The sequence below is a fragment of the Homo sapiens genome, chromosome 8 (genome assembly GCF_000001405.40).
Source record: "Homo sapiens chromosome 8, GRCh38.p14 Primary Assembly".
Lineage (NCBI taxonomy): Eukaryota > Metazoa > Chordata > Mammalia > Primates > Hominidae > Homo > Homo sapiens.
The window spans coordinates 27927646-27950881 of NC_000008.11; the positions used below are offsets into that span (position 1 = coordinate 27927646).

At 47.3% G+C, this 23236-nt stretch overlaps 1 protein-coding gene across 4 annotated transcripts in view, besides 2 other annotated features; it reads right to left on the minus strand.

The window, feature by feature from the left end:
• SCARA5 (scavenger receptor class A member 5) overlaps positions 1-23236 on the minus strand; it is a 122791-nt gene that overhangs the window by 57763 nt on the left and 41792 nt on the right. The window lies entirely within an intron of this gene.
• Positions 21723-22224: an enhancer, noted in NCBI's record as "H3K4me1 hESC enhancer chr8:27806885-27807386 (GRCh37/hg19 assembly coordinates)". NCBI's record gives its function as "activates a minimal SCP1, AML or CMV promoter by ChIP-STARR-seq in naive H9 embryonic stem cells {active_cell/tissue: H9 hESC(naive)}" and the evidence as "EXISTENCE:reporter gene assay evidence [ECO:0000049][PMID:30033119]".
• Positions 22225-22724: an enhancer, noted in NCBI's record as "H3K4me1 hESC enhancer chr8:27807387-27807886 (GRCh37/hg19 assembly coordinates)". NCBI's record gives its function as "activates a minimal SCP1, AML or CMV promoter by ChIP-STARR-seq in naive H9 embryonic stem cells {active_cell/tissue: H9 hESC(naive)}" and the evidence as "EXISTENCE:reporter gene assay evidence [ECO:0000049][PMID:30033119]".

Sequence of the window (23236 nt, forward strand, 5' to 3'; positions counted from 1 at the left end):
CAATCATGGTAAATAAACGCAGAAAGGTTCCTCCCCTTCCCTTTGAAATTTTTCCTAATAATAAATTTCCAGAAGCTGGATTAGTAGGTCAAAAGGCATGGACATTTTTATGACTCTTAAAAATTCCAGCCGAACTACTTCTCAAAAAAAGTTATACTAATTTACATTTACATTACAGATTTTAAAATGTGCCGAGTTCAGTGCAATCTCACTGCACTGAGTATTACAATTTTCATGTTGTGAATTTCACAGATATAAAATGGTAACATTATTTTTATGTGAGTCTATTTGCATTTTAGAAGCGGCCTTTTCAAGGTGATGCATCAGCTCATAGGAATAAGATACTTCAGGTACCGGGGCTAATCAGAACAAAAATTATTTGGGGATAAATATTCTTTGGGCATCAACTTGCGTAGGGCAGCCTCCTTTTTTGGGATCATTTGCACATCCCAGAAGAGAATTATGTCCTTCCAACAGTCAGAGCGTGTTCTCTGCTTACACACCACCACCACCCAGCCTCTTTCCTCATTTAATTCCTTCCAGATGTTTGCTGTCCTCAACAGGGAATAATTCTTAGTTGAGTGTGACTCTCTTAATTCATGTTTATGCAAACAGCTCATTTATCTCTCTGCCTGGCCTACTTTAAATGTGTTTTAATTATTCTTCAACTTTTATACTTTCACAAATGGGAAAGCAGATCATAGAACAGTGTAATACCAAGTGGCTTTCCCTGAGTATGTGCCAAGCACTGTTCTAAGTGCTTCCCATATTAATACACTTAATCCTATTATAACCCTATAAGTATTGTTAGGATCCTCATAGTTCAAATGAGGAAACTGAGGCACACAGAGGTTCAGTAACTCACAAGGTCTCATGGACAGTATACCGTGGTGACTGATCATGGGCTCTGCAGTTTGGTTCCAGAGTCCCCAGCTCTTGCCCCACTTTGCCAAACTGCTGAAAGGGTGGACACGGAGAACACACTTGTCTGTCTTTCTTTCTCTTTTTCTTTTCTTTTTTTTTCTTTCTTTCTTTATTGAGACAGAGTTTTGCTTTGTTGCTCAGGCTGGAGTGGAGTGGCATGATCTCGGCTCACTGCAACCTCCACCTCCTGGGTTCAAGCAATTCTCCTACCTCAGCCTCCTGAGTAGTTAGGACTACAGGCACCCACCACCACACCCGGCTAGTTTTTGTATTTTTAGTAGGGATGGGGTTTCGCCACGTTGGCCAGGCTGTTCTCAAACTCCTGACCCACCTAGGCCTCCCAAAGTGCTGGGATTACAGGCGTGAGCCACCAGGCCTGGCCAAGAACACACTTTTTAATGGTCAGAGACACTCCTATAAAATAAGCTTTGAAGGGAGTGAGTTCCTCATGATAAACCTAGGCTGGGGTCAGGCTGTGTGGCAGAAACCATGTAGAGATTCAAATTAAGACTCTGACTCAATATTGATTACTGAATACTAATGAATGTTATTAGCATAGTAGTGTAATAATCTATGATTAATGTATTCATGTCTGCTGCAGGCCCCGGCCTGAGCTAGGTGGCTTGCCCCTGCACATCCACTGCGACCTTCTCATCTGCACAGCACTGCCTCCCCACCCACAGCCCACCCCAAGCCTGCTCCCTCTTCTCTAATTGTCCTTTATGTCCATGAAAAAAATGGCATAAGGTCAGGATGGTCCATATGTGATCCAACCAGATAGGCTGCCTTCCCCCAATACATCAGGTGTCCCTACAGTGCCAGCTGGGTAGGTACATGTGTATGGGAGGGAAGAAGGAAGCTAAGGGTCCTATTTGAGATTTAGTGACCTAAACCTTGGGCACTGGTGTGAATCATAACCCTTTATCTTTGCAAAGAATTCTGCATCCATTGCCTCACTTAATTTTCAAGCTGACTAACCTGGGAGGTAGGGGAGCAAGTATGCTGAATCTCATTTAAGGATGAGAAAAGAGAGGCTCAGGAAGTCAGGAGATTGCCTGAAGAATGAAATTGGGGTGAATTTGTGCCATCTGTCCCTTACCCTGTCCTCCAAACCTACTGCTGGGATGGTCAGTCACAAGGCAAACTCCAAGCAGGCGGAGCAGGAAAGGAGATGACATTTATTAATCACCTACTGTATGCCAAACTTGGCTATAGTCTCTTATTAGAAGTTGCTTCCTTTACTCTTCCCAGCACACTTACAATGTAGAATTGTTATGCCCATTTTCAGATGGAGAAACTCAAGAAGGTGGCAGAGCTCAGGCAGGCTCAGAATGCTCAATCTCCAAAAGCCCTGCTGCCTACCACTCTCCTCCCTCACACAAAACAGCATGGAGAATCTCCCCTCTTTCTTTCTAGGAAGCAATGGCAGAGTGCAAATTGCCAAATGCCCTACAATCCCATGGTATGGTCCCCCCCAGTCCTGCAGGCAGATAGTATCACCGCTTCACAGGTGAAATAACCCAAACCACAGCAATTCAGTAACTAGCTTGATATGGTTTTCCTGTGTCCCCACCCAAATCTCATCTTGAATTGTATCTCCCACAATTTCCATGTGTTGTGGGAGGCACACGGTGCAAGGTAATTGAATCATGGGGAACGGTCTTTCTCGTGCTTTTCTCATGACAGTGAATAAGTCTCACGAGATCTGATGGTTTTATAAAGGGGAGTTTCCCTGCACAACTTCTCTTGTCTGCTGCCATGTGAGACGTGCCTTTCACCTTCTGCCATGATTGTGAAGCCTCCCCAGCCATGTGGAACTGTGAGTCTATTAAACTTCTTTTTTTTTTTTTGAGACGGAGTTTCATTCTTGTTGCCCAGGCTGGAGTGCAATGGCGCGATCTCGGCTCACAGCAACCTCCGCCTCCTGGGTTCAAGCCATTATCCTGCCTCAGCCTCCGGAGTAGCTGGGATTACAGGCATGCGCCACCATGCCCGGCTAATTTTGTATTTTTAGTAGAGACAGGGTTTCTCCATGTTGGTCAGGCTGGTCTCGAACTCCGGACCTCAGGTGATCCGCCCCCCTCGGCCACCCAAAGTGCTGGGATTACAGGCGTGAGCCACCGCGCCCAGCCTAAACTTCTTTCTTTTGTAAATTGCCCAGTCTTGGGTATGTCTTTACGTGCAGCGTGAAAATGGACTAATACATAGCTCAAGGCCACCCTGCTAGTAGGAAGCAGCTCCAAGCCCATGTCTCTTCTCTTGCCCTGTGTTCAAGTCCTGCCTTCTCTTTAGGCTAATGACACGGAAAGAAGGAAGGAAGGTGAGTATCAGACTTCACAGAGCATCACATCTAGGGCAGAGTGTCAGAAGGGATGGGACGGAACGCCACTGCACAGCAAGCATATCAATACAAGTGCCGAGAAAAAGGGAGGGGCCTTCCTTCAGGTGGCAGGCAAAACTGGGTTGCATTTACTGAGGTCTGGATTCATGTGACTTTAATGGAAAATTCATTTAAAAGCAGAACATAATATTCATTCAGAATCTGCAAGAAAGAAGTTATCAGTAGAGCTCTAGCACTTCAAGTGCTGTGCACAGGAAACAATTAGGGTTTCCCTGACCCTGGGATGCAGGAGAAAACCAGGGCCTGCACTCAGGGTGTGTGACCAGTGCAGTCACACGGGGCCCCATGCTGGGGGTTTAATTCTCTGCTGTCGCTCTTCTGAAACTGGTGATGAATTTATCTCTGAATTTGTGTTTTCTCAGGGAAGTCCTAAGGCACAATGAAGCCTGTGCTGGGGATGTGGACCCCTGGCTTAGGTGCAGTCCCACCTCCCACCACCCCCTCGCCACCCCAGAATGGGGTCCAGCCACCCAGTGCCTCACCCCTCCTCTCTATCCCCAGTGGCAATGGTCAGGGTCAGGCCTGGTATGTGTGATGAGTCATAGGATAGGGCTCTAGGCACCTATAAGTATCTTGACTCTGACTCATGAGTGTCCCTGTACCTGAGAAAGAACAACAGTGACTGGTTGAAAGAGACCATGGCAGCAAGGAAACAGCTTTTTTCCTGCTTTTTGGACAAAGAACCTTGCATTTTTATTTATTTATTTATTTTACACAGAGTCTCGCTCTGTCACCCAGGCAGTGCAGGGGTGCGATCTCAGCTCACTGCAACCTCTGCCTCCCAGGTTCAAGCAATTCTACTGCCTCCAGAGTAGCTGGGACTACATGCACACGCCACCACGCCTGGCTAATTTTTGTATTTTCAGTAGAGACGCGTTCCACCATGTTGGCTAGGCTGGTCTTGAACTTCTAACCTTAAGTGATCCACTCGCCTCGGCCTCCCAAAGTGCTGGGATTACAGGTGTGAGCCACCGCACCCGGCCAAAGAACCGTGCATTTTTAATTCTTTTATTTTTATTTTATTTTACGATGGACTCTCACTCTGTCACCCAGGCTGGAGTGCAGTGGCGTCATCTCGGCTCACTGCAACCTCAACTTTTCTGGGCTCAAGAGATCCTCCTACCTCAGACTGCTTAGTAGCTGGGACTACAGGCGTGCACCACCACACCCAGCTAAATTTTGCATTTTGTGTAGAGATGGGGTTTCACCATATTGCTCAGGCTTGTCTTGAACTCCTAGACTCAAGCAATCTGCCCACCTTGTCCTCCCAAAGTCCTGAGATTACAGGTATGAGCCACCATGCCCAGCCTGAGAACCTTGCATTTTTGCTGTGCATGGAGCCCTGCAAATTACGAAGCTGGTCCTGATAAAAAACTAACTACTGTCGATCTTCTGTGACTCAGATAGCAACTCTGAATAAGCAAATAAGCAATTCCAGGGGGACCCTGTATTAGTCCTCTCCGGCTGCTGTAATAGGATACCACAGACCGGGTGGCTTAAACAACAAACGTTTATGGTTTTGCAGTTACAGAGGCTAGAAGTCTGAGATCAAGGTGCCACCAGGCTGGTGTCTCCTGAGGCCTCTCCTCCTGGCTCGCAGGACACCTTCTTGCTGTATCCTCCCATAACCTTTCCTCTTGGTGTCCCTTCTGATTCTTTCATTTTCTTTTTTTAAGACATGGAGTTTCGCTCTTGTTGCCCAGGCTGGAGGGCAATGGCGCAATCTCGGCTCACTGCAACCTCCGCCTCCTGGGTTCAAGTGATTCTCCTGCCTCAGCCTCCCCAGTAGCTGGGATTACAGGCACCTGCCACCATAGCCGGCTAATTTTTTTGTATTTTTAGTAGAGACAGGGTTTCATCATATTGGCCAGGGTGGGCTCGAACTCCTGACCTCAGATGATCCGCCCATCTCGGCCTCCCAAAATGCTGGGATTACAGGCGTCAGCCACGGCGCTTGGCCGTCCCTTCTGATTCTTATAAGGACAGCAGTCCTATGGGATCAGGGCCCTCCCTTATGACCTACTTTAACCTTAGAAACCTCCTTAAAGGCCCTGCCTCCAAATACAGTCACATTGGGGGTTAGGGATTCAACATGTGAATTTTAGTGGGATACAGTTCAGCCCATAGCAGGGTCCTTTAACATCCCTGGTTAGCAGGATGGGTTCCTGCTGCCCTCTTGGGCTGCAGGCGTTGATTTTTAGGACTAGCAGATGTAATCTACTCTTTCAAAATATTAGACAGTGACAAGTGGTTAGAACAGGGCAGATTCAGCTGGGCACAGTGGCTCACGCCTGTAATCCTAGCACTTTAGGAGGCTGAGGCGGGTGAACCACCTAAGGTCAGGAGTTCGAGACCAGCCTGACTAACATTGTGAAGCCCCGCCTCTACAAAAAATACAAAAGTTAGCCAGCTGTGGTGGCGCACACCTGTGGTCCCAGCTACTCAGGAGGCTGAGGCAGGAGAATTGCTTGAACTTGGGAGGTAGAGGTTGCAGTGAGCCAAGATCATGCCACTGCACAGCAGCCTGGGTGACAGAGTGAGACTCCATCTTAAAAAAAAAAAAAAAAGAGACAACAGGGCAGATTCATGAGATTCATGTGGTGAGTGCACTGTGGGGCCCATTTTAAAATCTATAACATAAATATAAACTTATATAACTTTTTTGGAAAGTAATTTGGCTGAAATATTTAAGTCATAAAATGTCCATGTTTTTTGACCTAATTCAGGTTCTGGAAATTTATTATTAGGAAAATTTTCAAAACAGGGGAAACCTTTCTCTGTTTATTTATCATGATTGAAAAAAGACTGAGGAGCAAGAGAATGGGTAAATTAAATGTGTCCCCTTGAGGGACTCTTAGGCAGTCATCAAAATCATAATTATAAAAGACAGGGAGAAGTTGGGAAAATGCTTATGAAATAGTAAGTAGGGGAAAAAACCCAGAAATTGAATTGTAAGAATTGGGTATGCATACGGATGGAGCTAGCAAAAGAAAATGAAAAAGGAAGCTAGTATGCTCTGTTGTGGGATGGTGGAAGAATTTTCTCATTTCATTTGGATTTATGTGAATATTGGTTGTGTAATAAACAGCAATAAAATGAACTCTCTGGGAAAGGGCAGCTGATTGTCAGCTGTCCCCATATGGAACCAAATTTCGGTCCAGTTTCCTGCACAGGAAGCAGGGCTTAGAGCTGGTAGGTGCTGAGAAGGCAGCTGATGGGCAGGCCTGGGGACCTCCCAGGGTGCAGAGGACCAGCTGGGGATAGGGATGCCTGCAGAAGAAAGGAAGGGCTAGGAGAGCTAGGAAGACAGAGGCAAGGAAGAAAATTGCCCACTTCAGGGTCTTGTTCCCAGGCAAATGCGGCCTTGAATCAGCCCTGGGATTTCGACCTGGGAGGTCGCACTGTTTCACTTAAGCTCCCAGTTTGAAAACCAGAACTTATAAAACTCAGAGTGTTCTCACAACTTCTGATAAGCTGTGGTGTCTCTTGGAGCTCCAGGGGCATCATGAGAAGAGATTACAGGAAATTATCAGGCTTTCCATTCTCCAGCAGCCCTGTCTCAATACTTGTCACCCAATCGGGGTCCATGATTGGACAGACACACTGGTTCTAGAATCAGATCCTGGCTGATGATGATTTCTCCAGTGGGCAATTCCTGTGGTTACCTGGGCTGTGACTGGGTCATGGATTCATCTCCCCCAGAGCTCTTCCTTGCATTAACCACTCTTCAGTTAATCTTCCAGAGTGGAGCAGTGGCATGAACCCCTGGAGCAGGGGGCAGGAGGCATGGCATTAGGAAGGTCACTTATACTCCTCTGGCCTCAGTCTTTTCATCTCCAAAATGGGAGAGATATTCAGTTTACCAAAGACTGCATAGGCCCAAGCCAATGGCTAAAGTCTGCAAAGTCCTGATGAAGCTGCCCAGGGCCCAGTTTGGGCCATCTTACTAGAAGTCTCACGGCCAGCATGAAGGAGGTGACCCTTCCATCATACTTTGTCCAGTCTGTTCACACCTTGGAAAACTTCATTTTGATCAAGTACCACCTCTTAAGGGAATGTTGACAACTGGAGTCTGTACTGACAGATTGTCAGCAGCCTCCAGAAGCTAGCTAGGATGCAGGAAATCGATTCTCCCTGAACCTCCAGAAGCAACCAAGGCTGCTGATATCCAAGTTCTGATTTCTAGCATTCTGACCCGGGAGACAGTACAATTCTATTGTTTTAAGCTGTCTCATTGGTGGTAATTTGTTAGGCAGCCTCGGGAAACTAAAACAGGTATCCAAAGCTTGGCAGTTTCTCTTGACTCAAGGAACAGGCCTGGGCAGGAGACCAGTGTCATTAAAGAAGAGGTCACAGCATCGCAACCCAGGCTGCTTAGTGGAGATGGAGAAATGGCCAACAGGGGGGTTAGCAAGACAAGAGAATGGGGTCTCAATGGGTGGTTGGAGCACAAGAGTCTTGAGCCAGGTAGGTGTCACCCATAAAGACCATCTGTGGAGTGAGAACATCCAGCCTCTAGTCTGGAGTCTGGGAGCAGGTCTCTAGGGTCTAGGCTCCCAGAGAAGAGCTGCTAAGAGCAAGCAGGGTGACAGCACCAAAGCAGAAAAGTCAATCCTGGGGCCAGAGGCACAAAGGAATGGGAAGGCTGAGACCCAGGGAGCGGGAGAGGGCTCAGGATCTCAGCACTGCCCAGCCAGGCCAGAGGACCCGGGAGCACTCCCAGATCCCTGGGCCAACAATGACACGTCTGGATTCTAGGACCAGGCTGTTGGCCCCACCCATTCCCAGCAGATAGGGGGAGAGCAGGGTAAGTGGGTCATTCAAACAAATACTGCCTGCTCTGGGCTGCGTGGAGCCATGGGGAAGGGCCAAGGCAGGAGAAGTGAAGACCGAGGAAGGGGAGGTCCTGGGGACATTCATTAGTACCCAGGGAGGAGGGCAGCACATTGGTAATTTTTCGATAAGCCCTTTTTATTTTTCCTTTTTAAAGAACCACATGCCCTGGTTCCTAGCTCAGCAGGAAACATAAGATAAATATTTACAGGCTGCAGGCTGACTTCTCCCAGATGCCTATGCCCCGCCAGCCCCTGCCCAGAATTAGGAGGAGCCCAGAGCTTTCAGCTGTAGCTTGGAGCGGCAGGAGACCCCTTTGAGAAAGAACCAGAGAGACTTTCCTTCTCTGCACAGGTGACCCATGATGTTCAATGCAAGTGCCATCTGGAGACTCATCCGCTGGGGGCTCTAGGGCAACATGGTTGCCTACATAGGTATGGTATCCTGAATGCCTCCCTGAGCTGGCCCTGGTCACTTCAGAGACCAGTAGGACAAGGAGAGTGGCCAATTCTAGGTCTTACAGGCAGGGTCCAACAAACAAAGCAAAGGATGAAGCAGGCAGATCACTTGAGGTCAGGAGTTTGAGACCAGCCTGGTCAATATGGCGAAAACCCATCTCTACTAAAAATACAAAAATTAGCCAGGCGTGGTGGCACATGCCTGTAATTCCAGCTATTCGGGAGGCTGAGGCAGGAGAATCGCTTGAACCCGGGAGGCAGAGGTTGCAGTGAGCCGAGATCACACCACTGCACTCCAGCCTGGGTGAGAGAGAAAGACTGTGTCTCCATTAAAAAAAAAAAAAAAAAAAGGTGGGGATGCTTCACCCACTGGAATGGTGGATTGGCTGCAACCCAGATGCCCATCATCTGCAAATAAACCCTGTCTCTGGCACACTGGTGAGCACTAACTGAATCCGCGGAAGCATGGAACACACACCGTGCAGTGGCCAGCTGATGGTCACGGATTTCCATATTAGGATGGCCTGTCAGAACTTAAAAGGAAGAAAAAACCCACCAATGTATTTATTACTGTGCCCAGAGGCGGGGCTGGCTACTTTGTGCCCTGGCCCTAGCATTCCCTATTGGTGGTCTAGGCAGAGTCTGTGACACCTTACTGCTGTTTACTGTGCAAATGGGATCCAAGATGAATTCTAAATCAAAAGCCTCCTATTGAGAATATTCCCGGATTCCCATTTTGGAGGCTAGAGTGTCTGAAATCATTACCAGCACTGCCAGAAAACCAAGAGTTTTAATGAAACTCAGTCTTTGCAAATTTATAAGTAGCATTCGAGACTTGCTCTTTTGAGTAACATAGCAGCTAACACAGAACCTTGCACCTGGTAGGTGATCAGTAGATAGTAGTGAAATACTGTAGTAGTATAAAGTGAATGGTTGCAAAGGAAAAACCAAGTTCCAGGAGGTGTAACCCGGCAGGGCTCACCCCAGCTATACCTCCAACCTCCTGCTTCCTGCCCCTAGCACGTGTGGGACTTCTCAGAATCCTGGGACCAACCTGGGACTCACCTATGCATGACCTTCACCCTCTGGGAAGTCCCGATCCCCGGGGACAGGAGTGGGCAGGTAAGCGCTCTCCCCAGACAACTCAGGCCCCTGCTGCACAGCTCCTGGGTCCTGGGGGCATGAGGCCCCAGTTGCCACAGTGGGGACCAACTCCAGGACACATGCTGGCATTTGCTTTTCCTCCTTCCTGATTTCACTCTCTCTAAGTCCCTGACTCCTGCTGCTCAGGACCCCTTCTCACCAAGAACTTCCAAGGCCCTGGCTCCGGCTCTGATTTCCATAGAAATCCCAGGCCGCCATCACAAAATACCACAGACTGGGTGGCTTCCGCTACAGACTTTTATGTTCTCACAGTTCTGGAGGCTGGCAGTCTGAGCTCCAGGGGTTGGCAGGGCTGGCTTCTCCTGAGGCCTCTCTCCTTGGCTCGTAGATGGCTGCCTTCTCTCTTGCCCTCCCACAGTGCTTCCTCTGTGCAAACACATCCCTGGCATTTTCCTGTGTGTCCTTATCTCCTCTTCCTATAAGGACACTGGTCATATCGGATCAGGGCTCACCCTAATGGCCTCATTTTCACTTAGTCACCTCTTTAAAGTTCCTATCTCCAAATACAGTCACATGCTGAGGCACGGGGTGGGGATAGGGCTTCCACGTGTGGATTTGGAGGAGACACAATTCAGTCCATAACTAGCGGTTAGGGAGGGCTCTTCCTAAAGATGAACTGGAAAGAAGTTGGGGTGGGCAGTAACGGCGGGTGCCCATTTCCAAGCTGTGGTCTTGTCATTAGGCGATACTGTCCCAGCCCACTCAGAAGAGCCTACAATGAGCCCAGGCCATGGGGTGCTTCTAGAACCAAGCGCTTCCTCAAATCACTGATGCCACCCTTGGCTAACACACGTGCAGGGTCTGATGATTCAGTTTAGAAACTTAAAATGTCCTGTGGGGCACAGCAATGTGAATATACTTATCACTTCTGAACTGTGTACTTAAAAATGTTTGAAGGTGAATTTATTGGTGTGGGATTGTAACTATAATAAAAAAAAATCTTGTGGGGAATCTTCTCCATACTTTCATGGGGTTTGTTGGTGTTTTCTTGCAGTTATTTCTAGAAAGGGGCCCTCAAAGACTCACTAATCAAATATGTCTGTGAAGAAATAAAACCCTATCTGACAAATTTAGACTGTGTTCTCAAACCTCACATGCCTGTTTAGAGATAAATGACTTGCCCTGTAGTCGATGTTCACTGACTTTCCCAGACCCCTTTCTTTGCATTTAAGGGAAAATCCTCATCGACAGGCAATGCAGGAAAGCCTCTGCCTACAATGAATCAGTACACGGAGAGAGATGGGCGTGAGGCTGCTCTTCTACAGCCCAGAGTTGACCTTATCTCCAGCAGTTTTTAATCTATGTGAAAATTAAAGAGGAAAAAAATCCAGCTTGCTGGATTTCACTTTGTACACACCCTTTTATATAAATGTAGCACCCACCCATCGTAAACTAGTAACTCCTTTCTGGAACCTCATTTCATCACTGAGCCAGCAAACTGACCATTTATATATATATATTTCTTAAACACGAATAAGTGGTCTAAACTTTATGAAGAAAAAACATGAGATCATTTCAATACTTCTTGCAGAGATATTCTCTGTTTATGGAATAAGTGGGTCCTGCCTGATTAACGGTGGAGGGGGCTTTCATTCATTCAGCACCTACTGATTGTCAGGCACTATGTTGGCCACTTTATACCATACACAGAATATCTGACACATGTATGAATTTTTAAAGTTTTATAGTAGTCTTCAGAGACAGATGTTGTGGAGAAACTTAGGGTTTTGGATCTGCAGGCAAGATACTTGCATCAACTTGAACATTAAATGTATATGACAGGGACTTTTTGCACTCCACCACCCCAAACACCATGCCCCTTCTCCCTGCTCATGAATGGCTGGGCCCCGTGGTCAGGGATATTGGGACATTAACTTGCAGGCTCTAAAGAGATGACCAGTGCAAGTGGCTGGGTCAGAGCTGGGGGCTGTGTTCACGTGGTGTGGACAACCTGGCTGTCAGTCCAGCATCATTGTTTCAACCTCCAGGTCAATGAGTGAGCTCTGACTTTTGCATGTCCCCCACCATGGACTCTTGTCCTTGCTCTTCCAGGCCACAGATGTGTACTGCCAGTCTCAGCAGGAATTAGACCAGAGAGTAGCAATGTCAGGCCTGTAAGAGACCCTGGCAACCACTGTGATGCCCCTCCATATTTTATAGGTAAGGAAACAAGAAGCCTCTTGTCCTGGGTCACGCAGCTAGACAGAGATACAGATGAGATGACTAACCCAATGGCCCATCCACCTAACTGGATGGAAGAAGAAAGGAAGCTAATATTCGTGGGAGTCTACTCAGTGCCAGGCAATGGGCTGGGGACTGCATGTATTATGTTTCATGGGATCCTCTGAGGTTGCTATTCATATGTCCAGTTTTACAGATGAAGCTTAGAGAGATCAGGTGGCTTACTCAAGATAACACTGCTAGTGAATGTTAAATCCAGAATTGGAGCCCCAGACTATCTGCCTCTTTCTACTCCACCACAATCTGTCCCTCTTGCCCTAGCAAGAGACTCCCTAGGTTGCGTTAGAGGCCCCTCCTGTATTTTTCTCCAGTCTGCCTCCTGGCCACAGTCCCATGAGGCTGTAATCTGAAATCAGTGAGGGCGGCAAGCATGTTTCTCTGCTTCTATCTTTCTGGACAATTTGTTCCATAAGTGCTTGTTTTCAAACAGCTCACCATCATTCCCCCAGGGGCTCCACATAGCTTTCGGTTGGAGCAGCATAAGCTCTCCCCACTGGTGATTTTCTCAAATTCGTCTTTCTTCACTTGTTGAGCCGGTCATAAAGTATTTTAAGGAGGCTGGAAATTATTCTCACGAGTAAGCATGTGAGAAATCTGAGTCCCACTTGCCAGGAATCTAGGCCTTTATTGGGTTTCCTCTCTCAGAACATAAGGTTTGGAGCCCAAGTGTCAAATTTCTCACGTCACTGTTCTTTAAAAGGTGGACTCACAGTGCAGTAAGATCGTGGACACTTTGAGCCAAAAGTGACCTTAATAATAATTTACTTACCATTTTCATGTGAGGAAACAAAGGCTGGAAAATGTGATGTGAAATGTCTCAGATCACCTAGATTATTGGTGATGAAATCAGGGCTTGTATGCATATTTCTCAAAACCCAGTTCACATCTTTTTCTACTATATCTACTCTGCTGTATAGGAAGTCAGAATTAGGTACCCACTCACCCACCCATCCATTCATCCATCCACCCACCCACCCACCCATCCATTTGTCCATCCATCCATTTGTCCACCCATCTGTCCATCTATCCACCCACCCAACCATCTGCCCATCCACCCACCCACCCATCTGCCCATCCACCCACCCAACCATCTGTCCATCCATCCATCCATCCATCCATCCATCCATCCATCCATCCAAATCATCACTGACCATAATGCAAAAGGCATTTCACCCAAACAGGGAGGGTTTTCCCAATTAAAAACACTAACACTGAGAGCAAGAGTTACTTTGAAAGATTAATTGGGCCTAGAGTATTTTGCATTATTAGATTGGTTGGATATCTTCAGGATTGCAAAAATATTTAATCTTACAAAACACTCCTATGAAATTTTGCTAGTGACAATCATCAATCACAATATGATTTTATGGGGATTCAGAGTCTTTTCTACAAAAGAGAAAAATTCTGATGATAACTTTTAACATCATATAGTTAAAAAAAAAACCCACAATACGTCTTATATTTACCATGTTTCAAAAGCTGGCAGCTTTGTGTGAAGTGTAGATGATATAGAGGAAGCAGATTTTATAATTCAGAATAGATTCTAAATAGAATGGAATCAATTTAGATTTAGAATAGACTCTGAGAATTGGTTGGGTCCTTAGACACAGTTAGTTAGATTAGAAAGAAAGGAATGTTGACCTTGGAGTCCAGAGGCCTGGGTTTGAGTCCTGACCACTACCCGCTATGCTGATACATACTCTTGGACATGGGAATTTGTCTTTCTGAGTCTCTCACTTTTGACCTTAAAATGGAATTAATAACGTCTACCTCATGGGGTTGTGTGAGGACTCAAGAAAAGAATGAACTCTAATTGAGCACTTACTACAGGCCCAGCACTGTGCTTTGTGTTATGCAGATATTATCTCATTTGAGAAAATCAAATAGATGGGAAGAAAACCCCACATATACTGCAAAGTCCTATTCAAATTCAAACTCTCGGTGTTGTTATTAACATCCTTTCCATGCACACCCTGCACCTCCCCTTCCTACACTCATTCTCAGATTTGTAGGCATTAATATTTATAGAGGAACTCCAAACAGATGTATAGAGCTTTACATTTCACAAAGCACTGCTGTGGACATCATCTCATTTTGTACTCTTGACCAACATTTAATCCCCATTTACATCATCATTATTATTATTATTATTATTATTATTATTATTATTATTATTTTGAGGCAGAATCTTACTCTGTCACCCAGGCTGGAGGGCAGTGATGTGATCTCGGCTCACTGCAACCTCTGCCTCCCGGATTCAAGTGATTCTCCTGCCTCAGCCTCCTGAGTAGCTGGGATTACAGGCGTGCACCTTCACACTCTGCTAATTTTTTTGTATTTTTAGAAGAGACAGGGTTTTGCCATGTTGCCCAGGCTGGTCTTGAACTCCTGACCCCAGGTGATCTACCCACCTCGGCCTCCCATAGTGCCAGGATTACAGGTGTGAGCCACTGCGCCCAGCCCCCATTCACATGAGATGAAGAGCTGAGGCCAGCAAGAAATAGCTTTTCCACCATTAGCCAGTGACAGCCAGGCCTCGAGACTGAGTCTTGCAGCCCCAAGTCAGAGTATGTTCCACGTGCCTTTATCCCACCTCCTCCCTATGATTGTGACTTTCTGGCTGCTGGAACGCACAGCTTTTCACCCTCTTCACGATGGTGGCCCCCACTACTGCTCTCCCTAGAACTAGGTAGTTGCTTGATACTTTCCAAAGAGATCCAGAACGCTGTTCTCTCACTTTCCAACCACCACCACCAAGCCTGCCAGCTCTCTCACTGTTAGGAAAGCTGCCCATTGCTTCAACTGGCAGGTTGATCCCAGCCCCTTGACCTTCTCCACCTGCCCTCCTCTGGCCATGCCCGGATCACTGCCATGCCTGGATCCAGAGCTGCCTTCCGATGCCCCGGCCTCTGGGAGAGTTTATCAACTTTTGTATACATCAGTGGTGAACTCTGAGCACCTGCGTCCACTTCCTTCCCCACTTTAACTCTCGGGCTGCACGGTACTGCAGAAGTGTTACGCTGACTTGGCCCTTTCTTGTGCTGCTTGAACATCCTGGAGTTGGGCTGCCTTGAGTGGGTTGGAGGGCTGGAAAAAAAAATGCCCTTTGCTGCTATCTCAAAGCATCTTCATGCTTCTTAATGCTGAAGCCTGCTTTGCCTCTCTCATTCTTGGAAGTAACTATATCCACTTTACCAAGAACATGAAAGCCATTTAGCAAGAACACCATCTCCTCTGCATCATTTAGCATGAATGCCACCTCCTCTGCACCTCACCATAGTTCTGCAAACACACTGCTTCTTCTCAGATGAGAGTAAGAAGCATCCCTCTTCCTGCTCAAGGTGACCTGCACCCTCTGTGTTCCATTCTGTTCCCTGCTGGCTCCTTGATAGGAAGCCAGTGGTGGGAGAGGTGCAGTCCTGTGATGCCTTGAAGGAGCCATCCAACATAGAAGCACCAAGAGGTTGGAAGGGTGGGGTGTGTTAGGAGGTTGCATCCTAACTAATGAGGGTACCCCACAAGATAGCCCTCTAAATATTTGAAGATGGATCCCCTTTCCTTAAGGTTTCCTTTGCCAACATGGCAAAACCCTGTCTCTACTAAAAATACAAAAAGCTTGTGTTTTTACAAACCAGGCATGGTGGTGTGAGCCTGTAGTCCTAGCTATTCCGGAGGCTGAGGTGGGAGGATCACCTGAGCCTGGGAAATGGAGGCTGCAGTGAGCACTGCACTCCAGCCTGGGTGACGGGAGTGAGACTCTGACTAAAAATAATTATAAAGTCCCTTTATTGCCAAAGTCATTCTTTCCTGAATGTGTTTTAGCTTAAATGCATCCAGCGGTATGCTGATAAATGTTTAACAACTGGTTCTCCAAGGGGTTGGGGAGAAGCCTAAGCTGTGGTGCTTGCCAATGTTTGAGGTGTAAATATCCCACTATGACCGACTTCAAGCTACCAACATGACATCATTGACTACGGAGTTAGGAAAAGACGCACGTAATCAGAGCTGACCAGCACACCACTGTCTGCAGCCACCTTACATTGCAGCGGTCAGAGAGGAAAACAGCAATGAAGAGGGTTAGAAAAGCCACATTTGATGACCACCTTTGTAATAACTGACTCGGGCAAGAATTGTAAGTGGATGCTAAAATCATGGAGTGAAGGATTGCTGGCAATCAGTGTATTTACACAGCCTCAGAGTGTCTCCCCACAGATCACTTCTTAATCAGAGGGAATAAAAGATAGCTTTACAGTAGATTATTCTGACCAAATTTACCTTAACCAAATTTACCATTACCAGTACAGGAACAAATTGACACAATCCACCTCCTCAAATGACTTAGAAAGTGTTACTGCCAAGAAGGTTTAACCTACGTCAATCATGGGAAAACAATTAAACAAACCCAAGTTAAAGGACAGGATAGCAAGCAACTGGCCTGCATTCTTTAAAATGTCCATGTCATGAAATACAGTGAAAGGCAAGGAACCCATCTAGAAAAGACTATGGAGCCATGAAAACCACATGTATATTCTGGATTGGATCCTGCATCAGGAGTTTTAAAAATGGTTATAAAGGACATTCTTGGAGCAACGGAAGAAAATTAAATATGGATATACTGTATTTATAATCAGCATTAGATTTCTTGAATTCAGTAATTGTATAGTGGTGATATAAGACAATGTCCTTGTTCTTGTAAATACACACTAACATATTTAGGGGTGAAGTTTGCAACTCACTGTCAAATGGTTCCACAAAAATTAAAAATGGTAATAACAAACGTGGGGCGAGAAGAGAGAGCAGGTACACGCAAATGGCATAAAATGTTAACAATATTAAAATGAAGGGTATATAGCACTCTTTATAGCTTCCAACTTCTCTGTAGGTTTAACATTTTTTAAAAAATAAAAAATTAAGACCAGGCATGGTGGCTCATGCCTGTAATCCTAGCACTTTGGGAGGCCAAGGTGGATGGATCACCTGAGGTCAGGAGTTTGAGACCAGCCTGGCCAACATGGTGAAACTCCATTTTGTAAAAATAGAAAAAAAAAAAAAAAGTAGCTGGGCATGGTGGCAGTTGCCTGCAATCCCAGATACTTGGGAGGCTGAGGTGGGAGAATCATTTGAACCTGGGAGGCAGAGGTTGCAGTGAGCCGAGATCACGCCACTGCACTCGTCTGGGCGACAGAGCGAGAGCCTGTCTCAAAAAAAAATAATTGAGGTCAGGCGCTGTGACTCATGCTTGTAATCCCAGTACTCTGGGAAACTGAGGCAGGTGGATGACTTGAACCCAGGAGCTCAAGACCAGCCTGGGCAACATGGCAAAACCATCTCTACTAAAAATACAAAAAATTAGCCAGGTGTGGTGGTATAGGCCTGTAGTGCCAGCTACTCAGGAGGCTGAGGTAGGAGGATCATCTGAGTTCAGGAAGAAGAGGCTGCAGTGAGCTGTGATTGTGCCCACTGCACTCCAGCCTGGGTGATGGGAATGAGACTGTAAAAAAATAATAATAAATTGAAAAAAAAAAAAGGAAACACTGAGGAGTTGTCTAACCTGCATGGAGCCAAATAATACTGGTGCCTCCCTTATTCTCTATGAACGTAACTTTGATCACGATAGCTTTTGGTGGCAGGCATGTCACACACTGACTCATAGACTGCATCCTGCCAAACTCAAACCCTCAACCTTGCTTTAAAAACTGATGTCAAGCCGTGGCTTCCCCATTTGTGGGGCACTACTTCATGTGTGTCCATATTAATTGACCAGGTCTAAGCTATCTCTCTGGGTTTCAGCCTTATTTTGGGTTCTGATTCCGCATTCCTTTAAATTGAGTGCTGATCTCTGTGAACCACAAAGACAACAAACATGTCATCCGGGATTTAACTACATAAAGATTTATGAAGCATACAGGTTGTGCAAAGCAGCAGGTTGGGTACAAAGAAATCAACAACAAGTAAATAAGATGTGAGTGTCAATCATAGCCTTCTGGAAGATAAGAACCAGGTCTTATACTTCCTTGGTCCCCCTATAGCACCCCATGGTAGTGAGTATGTATTAGACACTTTATAAATGCCTGATTTGACCTCACATAGTAACCAGGCAAAAGGCTTAAACAGCCAGTCTCCTTAAGAGATGACACAATGAATAATCAAATGTATGGAAAGCTTGATGAGATTATTAGCTATCAAAGAAATGCAAATTTTAAAAAAGGAAATCTCTAAAAGTAATGGAACAGTGCTACATCATGCTGGCAAGACCGTGGTGAACGCTAGTGTGTTTAAACATTGCTGATGACTGTGCAAATATTTTTGGAAGGCAATTTGGCAAAAAGTATCAATAGCCATAAAAATGTTCACATCCTTTGCAAAATAGTCTCTCTCCTGGGAATTTAAGAAGTAACCCAAAAGAAGGGAAATGCTACAGCAGTGAGAAATTTATCACTCTCTTATTTGTAGCAGTGAAAACCTAGAGAAGTCGTGGATGAGCAATTAGGAACAATTAAATCATGGTACATTAACCAGATGAACTTTAATGAAGCTCTAAAAATGACAACCATGAAGTCTGCCATGTAACAATGTGGGACATGCATACGCTATCACAGGAAGCAAGCACATACACACAAAGGATTAAAAGAAAACCAGGATTCGTGAAAACAACTGACTTTAGAGGAGTGGAATTATGAGTGCAGCCTTCTTCTCTGAAGGGATTGGCTCCAGGATCCCCCACAGAAAATCCTCAGATGCTCAGGTCCCTTCATTGGACCTCCTGTATTTGCTGGTTTCACATTCTCAAATTCAATCAACCACGGATAGAGAGAGGACTCAAAGGAAACCAGCCCTGTTAGCACCTTGATCTTGGACTTGCAGCCTTCCTGAGAGAAAGTAACTACATCTATTGTTTAAGCCATGCAGGCTGCGGTATTTTGTTATGGCAGCCTCAGCAAACTAATACAGACTGTAAGAGACAACCCAGCCAGCCAGGGCTAATTTGGCTCTATCTAAGGGTAGGACCAGGAGCCCCAGGCACAGTGGATTATGGGTCATTGTAGGCACCACCAAGTGTGCCCAGGGCCAGAGAGAATCTGACGAGGCCTCCTTTGCCCTCTTCATCCCAGTGAGTGGAATGCCCCCCTTTCTGATTTAGGAAGGGGTGGGCCTTGGGCATCTGCATTTCAAATAACAACCCACCCCTCCCTGATTTCTGTTTTAGCAAACTCGTTGAACTGAGATCCTGCAGAATGACTGAATTCATGATCCCCTTAGCTTTTGTTTTTTTTCACTGTTCTCCTTCAGTTTCTTCTGTCTCTCCTAGCGAACAGAGATCCCAGGTGGTCAGAATATCCTGTTGGGCTTTTTTTTTTTTTTTGAGAGGGAGTCTCGCTCTGTCACCCAGGCTGGAGTGCAGTAGTGTGGCTTTGGATCACTGCAACCTCTGCCTCCCAAGTTCAAGTGATTCTCCTACTTCAGTCTCCCGAGGAGCTGGGACTATAGGTATGCACTACCACGTCCGGCTACCTTTTGTATTTTTAGTAGAGACAGGGTTTCGCCGTGTTGGCCAGGCTGGTCTCGAACTCCTGACCTCAGGTGATCCACCTGCCTTGGGCTCCCAAAGTGCTGGGATTACAGGCATGAGCGACTGCACCCAGCCTCTGTTGGACTTCCAAGGGCAAATTGGCTTAAAAATCCAAAGGGCAAGAGATTCTGCTTCTGGGTACAAGCCCAAAAGAATTGAAAGCAAGGGCTTGAACAGATACCTGAACACCCATGTTCATAGCAGTATTATTCACAGCAGCCGAAAGATGGGAGCAACCCAAATGTCCACTGACAGATGGATGGATAAGCAGAATGTGGTCTAGCCAAGCAATGAAATAGTATTTAGCCTTACAAAGGAAGGAAATTCTGACCCCTGCTTCAACCTGGATGAACTTTGAGAACATTACGCTAAGTGAAATAAACCAGTCATAAAGGCTCACGCCTGTAATCCCAGCACTTTGGGAGGCCCAAGTCCGAGACCAGCCTGAACATGGCGAAACCGTGTCTCTACTAAAAAAAAAAAAAAAAAAAAGTCAGGCATGGTGGCACATGCCTGTGATCCCAGCTACTTGGGAGACTGAGGCAGGAGAATTGCTTGAACCCGGGAGGCAGAGGTTGCAGTGAGCTGAGATCACGCCACTGTACTCCAGTCTAGGTGACAGAGTGAAAAGATAAAATAAAAACATGATAGACAAACACTGTCTGATTCCACTGATATGAGGTCCCCAAGAGAAGACAAATCCATAGAGACAGAAAGTAGAATGGGGGTTGCCAGGGGCTGGGGGAATGAGGAGTTCAGGTCTAGTGGATGCAGTTTCAGCTTGGAGATATGAAGAGTTCTGCTAGTGGGTGGTGGCGATGGTTGCACGGCAATGTAAACATGCTTAATGTCACTGACCCTTACACTTAAAAATGGTTAAAATGATAAATATTATGTTCTGTGTATTTCACCAGAATAAAGAAAATTCTAAAAGGTAACTGAGGAGGGGAGCTGGGTGGGGTCGGGGGTGGAGGACAGATTTGGCCTCGGGCTGGGTTGCAGGCCTCCTCCCCAGGGTGAGGGCGGTGACTTAGGGGAGGGTCTGGCTGCTCCAGGCAAGCAATTACTCAGACTCAGCCTTGGCCACACCCAAGGCCACAAGATATATGGGCCCTCTGGGAGGGAGGCAGGGAGGCCCCAGCTCAGCTTTCACAACTGAAGTCTCAGGACCTGGCTGGGAGCCACGAGCTGGAGCCTTCCTTCCCCTTCCCCTATCTTCTCTTCCATCAAATACAAAGGCGGCAGGGCCTGGGGCTGGGCCGTTCCACCGGCAGGTCAGGACCGCCAGGCCAGCCTTTCTGTCCACTGGGCCGAAGGGTGTGGCCCGGTTCCATGTGTTTGGGATTTGAGCAGCTAGGGGCCTGGAGAGCTCTTCAAACTGGCCAGTCCCACGGGGCTTGGTGGGTAACATTCCCCAGTCCCTCTCCAAGGAAGAAAAACAAACAGCTGAGCGCAGGAAGCCTAGCTGTGGGACTCGCTCCAAGACTGAAAGGGGAGGAAAAAACGATTCCAGCCCCAAACGCCTAGTTAAATTGAAAGCAATGGACTACAGACGGGAATGGGCACTTTTCCATAAGCCCCAGCCTTATCAAGGAAATTTAAAAATCCATCCTTGAGAGTTCATGCGTTTTGCTTTGTAATTTGCAATGTGGTGTTATGGCCGTTTGTGTATATCGATGTGCATAGTTTATATTGCAAAAGCAGATATTATAAAAACCCACATGGCCAGGCTGAATGAACGAAGCACAAGCGGGTGGAGCCCACAATTGGCTTGGTGCTAGTATTCTTTGTGGGAAGCCACCCTCCTTGTCCCTCACTTCGGGGTGCCTCAGTTTCCCTATCTACTTCTTGCTCAGAGGCTGGTGGTGTGGTGGACAGAACAGTGAGCTTCAGGGGACCTGAGGCCCAGGCCTGTCTTGATCACACATGAGCAGAGCCCACGTGGCTCAGAGCTTGGCTTTCCAGCTAATCTGTATTTCCTCAGTAGAAGCCAGGTGGCAATCACAGGGGAACAGCAGGGATTAGTGAGACGGAGCTCTTGACCAGGAAACCAGAGTCAGCCCAGCTTTGACCTTAACCACCAGTGCCCTTTAAATTTAATCAGCAACTATTTATTTTCTCCTATGAGAACTATCAACCTCGTTGGACCTCAGTCTTCTCATCTGTGAATGGGGATAATAGTGTCTCCCTCAGAGCAGTGGGTGAGGCTCAAGTAACCTATTGGATGGGAAATATGATTATTACTGTAACCGTAAGGGTGGAGTTGGGTGAGGTTGGCAGCTACCATGTGGGAGCATGGGGGTCTTTGGGACACTATGGATTGAGTAGCTCAGGAATCAGGCCACTGTTGCCGCATAACTCAGCCTGGAAGCAGGGCAGGCAGATCGGAGAGCAGCAGCAGTGCCTGACTCACCTCCTGTCCTCCTTCCACCCCAACCGCATCCCATCAAGAGGGCTTTTCCCCGTGGAAACTCACGCCCACGGTACCCGGAGCTGGATGGGAAAAGCCCCTGCCTGGCAGTGTCTCAGGTCTGAGTCCTCCCCTACAGCCTGCCCGGGTGCAGAAGGGGCCAGGGACATGGGTCTGGCTCCTGAAGAGGCCCTGCAGGTTGCAGTGGGGTGGGACCTGAGGGGAGCCACTGCCCATCCACAGAAAGAAGGGCTGTTGCAGAAAGTTCTGGAGCTGGACTAAGCTGGCCTTGCTGATGGTGCTGCTAAGCATGAACAAGCAGGCTGGCCTTGGGCAGGTCCACCAGGGCCTGAGCAGAGACCTAGGGAGGCTCAGTAATGTGGCCAGCCCACCGTGGCTCCTTGTGGTGAGAAAGGGGCTGAGAGCCTGGAAACGCTGGGGGAATGCCACCCACTGGCCACCTGGGAGTGAGTCCTTGCAGCCAGGGCAGGTGCAGAGCCACCAAGGAGGGGAAGGGGTCTAGCACATCCTCCTGCCAACTGCATGCCAGCCCCAGGGGCTGAGGCAGGGACACCCACACGCTCTTTGCCATTAAACCACCTATGTCTGCACTTTGACGCGAGCCAGACCTGGGGGTTGCCAGGAATATGCACGACTACCTGGAACCTGGTCCAGATCCCTGCCTTGTAAGGAGACCCCCACCCCACACACACCCCCAATCCCATCCTCGAGCAGACCCTTTCCACACAGGCCTCATGCCCGTGCTTGGGGGGCATCCCAGCCTGCACGGCCAACTCTAATCCCCACCTAATGCCGGCAAGCAACCCTCCCTTTGTCACCCTCTGGCCAGCACCGTGGTTTCCCTCTCCCAGAACAGCCCAAAGGACCTGGAAGAAAGCTGAGGCTTTGGGGAAGGGAATTCCAGTCCCAGGTCCCCAGAGCATGACCCAGAAGGAGGGACATGTGAGCTCCAGGTGCCATGTTCTCTTAGCCCTCAGGATGCCTCACCTTGTGGGTTGGGAAGCGGCCAGAGGGACAGAGTGGGGCCCTCTAACACATGGGGACTAGGGCAGGTGCCTTGGTCTCAGGAACCTGAGACACTTAGCAATGCCTCGGAATCCAGTGCCAGCACTTTCCTTGAGCGTATATTAACAGACAGCACCTCTGTACCCATTCAACCGATCGGAACGAGCTCTGTGACAAAACTCCTATTTCAGCACTCAGCTTTATGGGAA